This window comes from Homo sapiens, chromosome 2 (genome assembly GCF_000001405.40).
Source record: "Homo sapiens chromosome 2, GRCh38.p14 Primary Assembly".
Classification (NCBI taxonomy): domain Eukaryota; kingdom Metazoa; phylum Chordata; class Mammalia; order Primates; family Hominidae; genus Homo; species Homo sapiens.
The window spans coordinates 62855472-62867978 of NC_000002.12; the positions used below are offsets into that span (position 1 = coordinate 62855472).

The following is a 12507-nucleotide window of genomic DNA, read 5'->3' on the forward strand; positions in this document are numbered from 1 at the left end:
GGTCTCTGGTGAGGCCCCACCTTCAGGCCAGGGAGGGCCTGAAGGCTGGGGGCCAGGCTGCCAGTTCCACAGACCAGAGTGGGAGGTTGTGGTGCTTTTTCCAGGCCGCCCATGAACCAATCAGCATGCAATTCCTCTTCTCTGAGGCCCATGAAAGCCCTGGGCTCTGTCAGAGCTGAGCAGATATCAGGACAATCAGCTGCAGAGAGAAGCAACCAATTCCAGGGCCTCTTCTCTTCTCAGAGCTGGGAAGTTGATGGGACTACTTGCCTGCAGAGAGAAGCAACCCACTCCAGGACCTCTACTCTGCTGAGAGCTTGGAAGACACTGAGACAAACAGTTGCAAAGAGGAGCAACCCGTTCCAGGGCCTCCTGTCTGCTGAGAGCTAGAAAGACAATGGGTCGACCTGCCTGTAAAGAGGAGCAAGCCACTCCACGGTCTCTCTGCTGAGAGCTGCAGAGTTGACAGGATTACCTACCTGCAGAGAAGAGCTTCCCACTCCAGGGTCTCCTCCCTGCTAGGAGCTGAACACTCTTCAGGACACCCTGCTTGTGGAAAGGAGCTACCCACTGCGAGTCTCCTCTGAGCTGTTCTGTTGCTCAGTAAAGCTCCTCTTTATCTTGCTCACCCTCCACTTGCCTGTGTACCTCATTCTTCCTGGTTGTAGGACAAGAACTCAGCTCTTTTAGCCCCATTGAATGGCAGGGTTAGGAGAACTGTAACACAAACAGGGCTGAAACATGCCCCTTGCTCACCACATTGCAGGTGAAGAGGAGAGAAGAGCTGCTGCCCATCAGGGAGCACATATCTGGGAGCTCCCCATGCCAGGGCTGTGACTCCCGCTTTGGGGCCCTGTGGTTCCTGGCATCTCCAAGCTTCCAGGTGCCACCACGTTCCCAGTGCCAGATGTGGAAACTGCAGTGCACCTGGTCTACCTGCAGCCTTGCAGAGAGCTGGTGCCTATGCCACACATGGAGCTTCCCACTCTGCTGCAGCAGCTGGTGTGTCTGACTGCACAGTGGCTAGACCCCACACTCACTCACACTACCCTCATCACTCCATGCCTGACTCGCCCTTGGTAGGCATGGGATCCAGGTCAGTAGCGTGAGCCAAGTGCAGCATGCCAGGCCAAGTGGGTGGAATGAGTCCAGCAGGCCTGAGCAAAAAACTCAGGCAAAGGCACCACTGGCCACAGAGGTTTCCAGCCAGAAAAGCTACATCCCAAGGATCCTGTAACAATATGAATTACCAAAATATGACACACACATTAAGTGAGCACATCCTGTTGGAAGAATGGTGCTGATAGACTTGCTAATCTTAGAGTTGTCACAAACCTTCAATTCATAAGGTGGCAGATGGAATTAAGGTTGTTTATAAGCTGACCGTGACATAGTGGAAAGTATGCTAGGTTATCCGTGTGACTCAATATAATTACCAGGGTGGTTAAATGGTAGAGAGTGGCAGAAGAGAAAGTCATCACATGTGATGTGAGAACAACTTGGCCCACTGTTGCTGGCTTTGAAGATGGAGGAAGGGGGTCACAAGTTAAGGAGTGGCTTGTAGACTTCTAGACAAGGTTGGCTTCTAGAAGCTGGAAAAGGGAGGGAAGCAAATTCTTCCCTATAGGCTCCAGAAAGGAATGCAGCCTATCGAACTTCCTAATTTTAGCCCAGCAAGTCTTCTGATCCCCACAACAGTTGGATAATAATTTTTTTTGTTGCTTTAAGCAAAAAAAACCTCTTTACTTAATAGAAAATGCAATATCTGGGAAGTGCAATAAAATGTGGTATGCCTGTAGGTATTTGTTAAGTCTGTTTCCATGTTAATTTGTGTCTCTATAGATCGTAAATTCCACAAGGACAATACCATGTTTGTTTTTGTGTCCGAAGAATAGGTCTTGGCACAGACTGATAAATAAATATTTGTTCAATACATGAATAGTTGCAGGCAGCCATATTATAAATGCATATTAAATGATTTAGTTCAAATAAAATTTACCATGTGCCCTTAGGTTTACAATGTTAAAGAACAGTACTTTTAATGTCAAATTTACAACTGTGTTCTACTTCCAATCGTTTTATTTCTTTCCTACTGAATAATCTGGATCTATTTGCTGTATCGTTATACCTAAGCTATTCCTAGGTTGTAACTTTGGAAATATCAGGAATTACCCCGTAGTATCCTAAAAGGTTCTTATTTGAGTAGTCTAATTTTCACCCAATGAGTGATAATTTCACATATTCAGAGTTGTTCAAAATATAGATGACTCATGTAAAAAATTGTATCTTAAATTTGTTTCTCTGTCCTTTTTAGTTCTCTTTTATTGTTTTTATTATAAGATTTTTCTAAAGCATATACTCTAAAGTTGCCTTAAAAGAACAGATCCTATTAAAAAAAAAACAGTAGTAGAAAATAGTAACTGTTGCTTTTTTCTTGTTTTAGTGCCGATTTTTAAAATGCAACATGAATACATACTTATTATGTATATAATCCATGCATTTATATTCTTAAAACTTTTTGTTTAAATTTAGAATATAAAACAAATGACAAATATTTTCTGTAGTATCAGAGTATATATATTTTGTTCTGTTTTTAATATATGTGTTTAAAGCACAGCTCTATTTTGTAAATGTGAAATGTGAAAACCAGTGTCAACTTCTCGGGTTATTATCTCGTTTTGTGTTTATTAACATAGTTTTTATGTTACTAGTATACATTTTAACAATAAAATGCTTTCTATTTTAAAATATGAGTACAGCATAACATTCAGTTAAGCATATCTGTTATGGGTTCATCAAAATAACATCCACCGAATGTATTCTGTTGATTAACCAAACATCTCCTCTTTGTCTTTTTGGGTAACAGCATGCTCCTACTTCTCTTTAATTAAATGACCTTACCTTATATTTGTCTTGACTGGCTTCTGTTTACAGAAATTGTAAACCAGTTGAATGCTCTGAGCAGCTTAGATGAAGATCAAGATGACTGCATAAAGCAAGCAAATATGCGTTCAGCTAAATCAGCCAGTTCCTCTGAAGGTCTAAGAGCTTTCCTCCTTTCTTTCTGCTTCTGATTGCCTGTATTTACTGTGACCTGCTACCTCTTGACTTCTGTCTGTATTTATCTGTCAGTTTTGTCTTTGTGCTTTTCCTTGAATGTTTTCTTTGGTAATTTGTAGTGCACCAACAGGCAACAAGATAACAGTACTTATCTTTAGCAAAGTCATGTCAGGATCCTTGATAGACAGTGGTTTTAAAACATTTTCTAAGATAATACTTGGTCATACAACATGCTACTTCTTCAGTGTGTTTATATATTATAAATATATTGTTTTTAGAATATTTGCTTATCATAAGCCCATTTCAGTTATTCCTGTTTGGGAGTGAAGAATGTTCTTTCTAAAAGTCTATGTCAACACTTTTTTTATTGGCTCAAATTAAATTGACATGGAAGTTTCTTTAGTACAGTTCATTATCTGACATAATTTTCAATTAATACTCAAATGTTTGTTTTGTTTTGTTTGAAAATGTTGGTATGCTACAAAATACTTGAATGGCATTCTGTCATTGGTAAAATGCTATATACTATTATTTGCAGGTATTATTCGTGTGAACTTTTACCATTTGAAATATTTCACGAATGTTCAATACTTACACTTAACCATAATAGGGAACTAACCCATATGTTTATTTTCAGAGCTTATCAACAAACTTAACTTTTTGGATGAAGCAGAAAAGGACTTGGCCACCGTGAATTCAAATCCATTTGATGATCCTGATGCTGCAGAATTAAATCCATTTGGAGATCCTGACTCAGAAGGTAGCAAGTTTTTCTGTAATTTTAAAGTCTTTGTATAGTCAAGTTGACTTGAACTGTAAGGGCAGGAAAATATTTTCTTCAGAGACTAACACACAAAAAATTATTGTTTATAATGATATTATTATTGTGTTCAATACCACTTGGAGTTGATCAGCAATTCTGGGTCACTTCTATGGAATGGCTTTTAAAGAAAAAAGAAAGCCTTACGTAAACATTTACATGGGGCTTTACAAGTCTCATTCGTTTGGTCTACCAAGTAAGGTCAGAATGTGGGATATACTGATTTTGGGATGGTGGAGGTAGCTTCTCTATATGGATCATTTTCCCTGACACTCAGTCTGTTGAGCCCTTCTGCCCCAACTCTATGTCTCTCTAGCCGAGATTCTCTAGCAGAGAATTAGTAGTGAGAGTGAGTTATGCATGTGAAAACATGGAGCAGAGAGTAGGTTAAGAACCGCTGCTATTATATATATATATACAGCATACTTGTGAGGTATAAAACCAGGGATTTTTTTTCCTGAGTCACTTTTCTTATTAAGTAGTTTTGAACTCATAAAGCCTGGCTAAGGGCTGTTACAGAAGTGAGACTTCTGTTTAATTGAACTCTGTATGCTTAACATAAATGCAAGAATGATTAACTACTGTTTACATCTTTTTTTGACTGTGTCTGAGAAATCTTCATGAATTTTAAAGAATTTTGCTACTGCCTGTCATGGTGAAAATGAGGTTTTAGCTTCAGGATTCACTCTGTTATAGCAATATAATTTCATAATTCTTTCTCTGTCTCCTCTTCCTTTACCTTCTCCCTTCTTACCAGACTCTAAATTATTAATAGTAAGTGTGTATTCATGAGTTTTTTATTTTGTTTGAGGGCTATATATTATGAACATATTTTAAATCTTAAAAAGGTTACAATAGCTGGGCACGGTGGCTCACGCCTGTAATCTCAGCGCTTTGGGAGGCCAGGGCTGGCGGATCACCTGAGGTCACAAGTTTGCGCCCAGCCTGACCAACATAGAGAAACCCCGTCTCTACTAAAAATATAAAAAGTTAGCTGAGCATGGTGGTGCATGCATGTAATCCCAGCTACTCGAGAGGCTGAGGCAGGAGAATTGCTTGAACCTGGGAGGCGGAGGTTGCAGTGACCAAGATCGCGCCATTGCACTCCAGCCTGGGCAACAAGAGCGAAACTCCATCTCAAAAAAAGAAAAAAAAAATTACAATAAATCATAGAGGCAGTCAACTACCTCTTTTCATAGATTAGGAAGCTGAGACTGAGAGAAGTTAAATTATTTGACTTTAGGTTAGATGGAGGTGGAGTTGGAACTAAGATTCTTAATCAGGTATCCTTTTGACCACACAACTTCTTGATTTTATACTACATACAATTAAGTATACTGAGTTCAAAAATATTTACAAAATGTCTTGAGACATTCAGTATTTGAACTTTCTATTTTAAAATCAAGTAAGTTTTCTAAATGTAAGTCTGTTATCAGAGGTATAAAAGAGAGTGGCAGACAACACATAAGATCATATTTCTATGAAGAAGAAGTAAGCCAGCCTGATTCAGAATCTTTAATTATACCTGTAGAGCCAAACAAGTATGTGTCAACCACTGATCTTTTTAAATATATGCCTATTAGAGTCTTTAGAGTAAGTATTTTTTATTATTAAAATATTTTTATAGAAATAATTTATCTTTATTGATTAAAAACTTGCAGCCTCAAAACAGAAGTATTTGGGGAAGAAAAAAATGTGTTGCAATTGTTCAGATTATTCTTTTTTTGCTTTTACAGGTTCAGTTCTCCTCTTATATTTATGTGCTTGAGTGGCTTTTTTTTTTTTTTTTTTTTTTTGAGACAGAGTCTCGCCCTGTCGCCCAGGCTGGAGTGCAGTGGCACATTCTCGGCTCACTGCAACGTCCAACTCTCGGGTTCAAGCGTTTCTCCTGCCTCAGCCTCCCGAGTAGCCTGGATTACAGGCGCGTGCCACCATGCCCAGTTAATTTTTGTATTTTTAGTAGAGATGAGGTTTCGCCATGTCGGCCAGGATGGTCTCGATTTCCTGACCTTGTAATCGGCCCACCTTGGCCTCCCAAAGTGCTGGGATTACAGGCGTGAGCCACCGCGCCCAGCCCTTGAGTGGCTTTTTTAGAAAGCTACTAAATGTCGGCCGGGCGCGGTGGTTCACGCCTGTAATCCTAGAACTTTGGGAGGCCAAGGCAGGTGGATCGCTTGAGACCAGGAGTTTGAGATGAGCCTGGCCAACATGGTGAAACCCGTCTCTACTTAACATACAAAAGTTAGCCCAGTGTGGGGCACACACCTATAATCCCAGCTGTTTGGGAGGCTGAGGCAGGAGAATCACTTGAACTCAGGAGACAAAGGTTGCAGTGAGCCAAGATCGTGCCACTGCACCCCAGCCTGGGCGACAGAGTGAGTGAAACTCCAGCTCAGGAAAAAAAAAAAAAGAAAGAAAGTCTTCTCTTAAACCCTCCTTTGTTGCCTATTCTAGCATCTTCAAATCTTGCTCTATAGTTTGTATACTTTCTTGCTTTTGGTGTTGTAACTGATGAATTTGCTTGGATTAATTTTTGCAATCCTCTTCCTGAAAGAAAAAAATAAAAATCTTATTTTTATTGACCCATTTTGTCAGTTTCTTAAGCATTTGAGCCCTGATATTTGTTAATACAAAATTGGATAGGAAAAACTTTACAGTCTCTCTTCCCTTATGGAGAAAAGAAAATGCTTAATTTACATGATTATAAAGATTCTAGTGGTGTTAAGTTTGAATATTATCATGGTATTACAAAAGATACTATTACTGAGTCTCTTTAGGCTATGTTTAAATTCATTTCAGTATTGATTTATTATGATTTTATGACTTCTCTTTCACACTTACTTGCTTCTCCATGGTGTACAGACTTTCAGCTCAGAATTTTTCATTTTATGTTCTTTTCAACATAAAGACAAAATAAATTTTCTGGGCTAACATGTACAGTATACGTGGTTTGACTTTAAAATATAAAAGTCATTGGCCGGGCATGGTGGCTCACACCTGTAATCCCAGCCCTTTGGGAGGCTGAGGCGGGCAGATCACCTGAGGTCAGGAGTTCAAGACCAGCCTGGCCAACAGGGTGAAACCTCATCTCTACTAAAAATACAAAAAATTAGCCAGGCGTGATGGCGGGCGCCTGTAATCCCAGCTCCTCAGGAGGTTGAGGCAGGAGAATAGCTTGACACCGGGAGAGGTCACTGCAGAGGTTGCAGTGAGCCGAGATTGCACCATTGCACTCCAGCCTGGGCAACAAGAGCGAAACTCCATCTCAAAAAAATAAAAGTAATTAATAAATGTCAGTCATAAAATTTTTGTAATAATCAGATTAAGTTGTTTGAAATGTCACTTAGGAAACAATTTTTCTTGAGAATTTCAATAATCAATTTCCTGCCTTCCTCTCACAGAATATTTTGTTAGCATTGCATAGCATAATTAAAATTACTTTTAATGCACTATGACTTTTGGCTCACTGAAATTTTCCTACAATTTGAGAAAATATTTTTATCAGCAAATCTTAGACAGTTTTATTACAAATTCTTGTTTTGTTTTAAAATACTAACAAACATAAAAAAAAAAGCCTCGTGCTAAGTACTACTACTACTATAGTGGTTTTGTATTTTGAGTCAGAGTTTTATTTTAAAAGTACCACTGAGGCCGGGCACAGTGGCTCACGCCTGTAATCCCAGCACTTTGGGAGGCTGAGGCAGGTGGATCACTTGAGGTCAGGAGTCCGAGACCAGCCTGACCAACATGGTGAAACCCTGTCTCTACTAAAAATACAAAAATTAGCCAGGCGTGGTGGCGCATGCCTATAATCCCAGCTACTCAGGAGGCTGAGGTGGGAGAAATTCGCTTGAACTGGGGAGGCGGAGGTTGCAGTGAGCCGAGATTGCACCACTGCACTCCAGCCTGGGCAACAGAGTGAGACTCCGTCACACACACACACACACACGTACCATTGTTGTCCAGGCATGGTGGCTCACACCTGTAATCCCAGCACTTTGGGAGGCCGAGGCAGGTGGATCATTGAGGTCAGAAGTTCAAGACCGTGCCGCTGCACTACAGCCTGGGCAACAGAGTGAAACTGTGTCTCAAAAAAAAATAAAAATGAAAGCACCATTGTTTTCAAATTAAAATTTGAAATAATAAAAGCTAGAAAAACTTGATATATCTATCAGCTTACCAGTATTATTATAGTGCTTTCACCTTGAAGATTCTTATGTTATTATTGATTGAAGTTACATTGAAAAAATAATCTCATTAAAAGCTCTAAAGATTTAAAGTCTTGTAGCATACAGAAACCTCCTCTTTGAAAACTTTGAGAAAACAAGTTCAGTGGCCTGTGAGTATATATACGACACAGGACAGAATGAATTATCAGATCCCTGAGTGGTCTGTGCTTACGTAAATATCAAAGAACATTTCAAAAGTGAATCAATTTCCTGTTCTTTTTATTTTATTTTATTTTTTTAAATTTTATTTTTCTGTGTTGTTTTTTTTTTTTTTTTTTTTTTTTTAAACAGAGTCTCGCTCTGTTGCCCAGACTATAGTTCAGTGGCGCAGTCTCAGCTCACTGTAATCTCTGCCTCCTGGATTCAGGCGATTCTCCTGCCTCAGCCTCCTGAGTAGCTGGGATTGCAGGCCCCCGCCACCCCACCCGGCTAGTTTTTGTGTATTAAGTAGAGACAGGGTTTCACCATGTTGGCCAGGCTGGTCTTGAACTCCTTGACCTCAAGTGATCTACCCACCTCGGCCTCCCAAAGAGTTGGGATTACAGGTGCAAGAGACTATGCCCAGCCTTAAATTTTATTTTTGAATTGAGGTCATGCTCTGTCACCCAGGCTGGAGTGCAGTGGTACAATCATGGCTCACTGCAGCCTTGAACTCTTGGGTTCCAGCCATCCTTCCACTGCAACGTCCCTGGGAACTGGCACTACAGGTGTGCACCACCATAACCAGCCCATTTCATGTTCTTTTAAAAACAGAAATTTATTATGTATCGGTTTGTAATGGCAAGCTGGTAGACTACAATAAAAGAATATAATTTTGCACATCTAAGAAAACATTTTCAAAATTGGCATATCATAATGTTAATACTGTTAGATACTGCAGAGGATCTCAAGAAACAGTAATGATCCAAAAATGCCATTTTTGGGAGTACCATTCCTGGAGAAATTGACAGAGATTTTAGATATCACATCTTCTGAACATTAAGACTACTTAGCCCCTCTAAAATATATTATTGTTTTATTATTGCTTTGCTCTTTCTCAGCCCCATAGAGCTTATTAATTCAATAATGCATATATTTGAGAACACTAAACAATATTAGAAAATATCATATGGTATTCATGTGATTTAATTCATCTGCTATTATTTTATAGAACCTATCACTGAAACAGCTTCACCTAGAAAAACAGAAGACTCTTTTTATAATAACAGCTATAATCCCTTTAAAGAGGTGCAGACTCCACAGTATTTGAACCCATTCGATGAGCCAGAAGCATTTGTGACCATAAAGGATTCTCCTCCCCAGTCTACAAAAAGAAAAAATATAAGACCTGTGGATATGAGCAAGTACCTCTATGCTGATAGTTCTAAAACTGAAGAAGAAGAATTGGATGAGTAAGTACATTTCATTTTGCTGTCATCACAAGTTAGTCTCTATGTTACCTAAAGAGATCCTTTTGTAATGTACCTTTAGATGGGTACAAATCATTAATGTACACTTTATAAGTCAGTATCTAACTCGTCCACTATCTGAGTGTTTATAGTCTTAAACCTTATTCTCCCACCCTCTTCCAGGTATGTGTGTGTGTACCCTAAACTAACAAGTGAGGAAGATATATTCCTAGAATCTCTGGTTGGAATTCCAATTGTGTCTTCTCACAGAAACTATATTATAAATGGTATTTAGGTTTTTGGTTTTTTTTTCCATCAAACTCTGTAGACATTAAACTTCAGTTATCTTATAGGTCTGTTGGGGAGGAGAACAAAATAATCATTTGTGGTATTGATTTGATAAGAAGACTTGTTTAGATACCAAACAGTGAAATAATAATATTTCTAAATTAGGGATTATCACAAGCTCAGTATGAATAGACTGTGTAATTAGGGCTGCCATTTGCCCAAATCTGGAGTGGGGATAAAAAGGGGATGTGTTCATACTGTAATCTGGAGTTATACAGTTCATAGCCCATGTGGCTACAGACCATGACATTAAGTGTGTTTTAAAAGCAGCAGCAAAACCTCCACTTCCAGTCATGATGGGATAACACAGACTGGATTTAGCCTCTTAAACAACTAAAAAATGGAATAAAATTATTATATGAAACAATAGGATTCAGACATTGGACACAAACAGCACAGGATAATGATCCCTGAGAGAACAGAAACAAGACGAGCCCTACAATTATGTAACTTATTTGTGGGAGAGAGTTTCTAAATGCAGTTCAGAGAGAAAAAAACTCAGATCCCAGTAATCACCCTGAATTAAGGAGATAGAGTTTGGACTTGGGAGTACTGAGGTGACCAGAATTTGTAGAAGAGAAGAGGTACGGAATTTATACCTGTATGAGGAGCACTACTCTGTGAGATCTGTTTCAGAGATCTGTAGAAAGCCCCTCCTGAGTCTTTAGCTGAGTGTGGATCAGAGCTTGCGTGTGAGGAAATCACGAAGGACAAAGAAACAAACAGAATGATCCCTGGAGTTTGCCCCAGACCAAGAATAATTTGTGTTCCCACCAGCCAGAAAGAAAAGACTTCCTAACACATGGGACATTCAGTAGAGGCCTCAGAGAGGTATTGCATCAGTTGTGGGGCCAAATTGGCCCTAAACTGAAAGCTGTTCTAGGCCTACCTAACAAAGCTTAAAGGCAAGGCTCAAAAGAATCAAACTTATCTCAAGTAATTTAACTGCATCACACATGAAGCTCAAAACAGTTTTAATCAATACCAAAAACTCCAGCACACAAAACATGAAATTCATACTGTATGACAGCCAATCAAACATTTATCAGGCATGTAAAGAAACAAGAAAATCTGACCTGACCCATAATGAGGAGAAAACATAATCATTAGTATAGATGCAGAAATGGGACAGATGATGGAATTAAAAGATCAACCTGGTAAAATAACTTTTATAAATATATTCCAGATATCCAAGAAGGTAGAAGAAGACAGCATAGATGATATTAGAAAATTGAAATTGAATTTATAGAGATGAGATTTTTCATCTCATACAAAGTCAGGTGAAAAATAGACTGGATGAGGTTAACCCCTTGTTAAATACTGCAAAAGGAAATACTAGTTAACCTAAAGACATAGCAATAGAATCCATCCAGATTAAAAGAGAGAAAGAAGAAAATAACAAAGGATCAGTGAACTGTGGAACAACTTCAGTGGCCTAACGTGTGTAAAGAAGTGAAGAGAAGGTAAGAGGACAGAAAAAGTATTTGAAGAAGTAAACACCAAAAGTTTTAGAAATAAAAAAATTTAAAAATATAAACAAACCTACAGGTCAAAGAAGCCAAATGAAACTCAAGCACAAGAAAAATGAAGAAAGTCATAGCAAAGCTTGTTAACAAAAACAACTCAAGCCAGAAGACAATGAGGTGATATTCTTAAAGGACTGAAGGAAAAGTATAACAACAAAAACCTGTCAACATAATTTTCTATTCCCAGCACTCCAAAAAAGCAAAATGATACTACTTGAAAATTTGGATTTACACGAAGGAAAAAAGCACATGAAATGACAAATATATTAGTATATATAAAATACTTGTCTTATTTTTAAAAATCTCTCTGGTAGATAATTGTTTAAGGCTTCAATAATGTATTCTGGGTTTTATAACATATAGAAGTAAAACGTTATGATGGTTGTGTAAAGGCTGAGTAGCAGAATGAAAGGATACTGTTTTAAGCTTCTTATACATAATGTTACTTGAAGACACTTTTTTCAGAGTTGACAATTGTTTATATAGAAAAGCATAAGGAATCTTTAAAATGGGTACTAAAACTAAAAAGTAAATTTAGCAAGGTTACAGGCTACAATATTAATATATAAATTCAATTGTGTTTCTCTGTAGTCACAATGAACAATCAGAAATCAATATTGAAAAAAATACCATTTATAGAAGCATCCAAAACAAAAAACTCAGGGATAAATTTGAACAAAGATGTGCAATATGTATATACCGAAAACAACAGAACGTTGCTGAGAGAAATTAAAGAGTGAAATCAATGGGAAAAAATACAATGGCCATGGATTCAAAGATATAAGTTATTTTCAGTCAATTTATAAATTCAGTGCCATCCCAATCAAAATTTTAGCATGCTTTTTAAAAAAATAATTTGTCAGCTGTTTATAAAATGTATGTGGAAATGAAAGGGACTTAGAATAATCAAAACAACTTTGAAAAAGAGCAAAATTTGAGGATTTATACTATCTGATTTTAAAACTCATTAACCAAGACAGTGTGGTATTAGTTTACTAATAGACTGTAGGTGACTGGAAGAGAGCCTGGAATTAGATTCATACATATATTGCCAATTTATTTTTGACAAAGCTAGCAAAGAAAATCAATTAGGAAATGATAATCTTTTCAAGAAATGATGCTAGAACAATTAAATG

General features: G+C 38.0%; 1 protein-coding gene across 52 annotated transcripts in view; it reads left to right on the forward strand.

The window, feature by feature from the left end:
- Positions 1-12507, forward strand: part of EHBP1 (EH domain binding protein 1) — a 372610-nt gene that overhangs the window by 181594 nt on the left and 178509 nt on the right. For 32 of the 52 annotated variants that reach the window (NM_001142615.3, XM_047443748.1, XM_047443749.1 and 29 more), the window contains exons 8-9: positions 3698-3820; positions 9260-9500. In NM_001142615.3, the coding sequence (NP_001136087.1) occupies positions 3698-3820; positions 9260-9500 (364 nt within the window). Of the gene's footprint in view, positions 1-2934; positions 3040-3697; positions 3821-9259; positions 9501-12507 lie in introns of all 52 variants that reach the window. The other 20 variants (XM_047443744.1, XM_011532718.4, XM_047443745.1 and 17 more) reach the window with 1 other exon arrangement.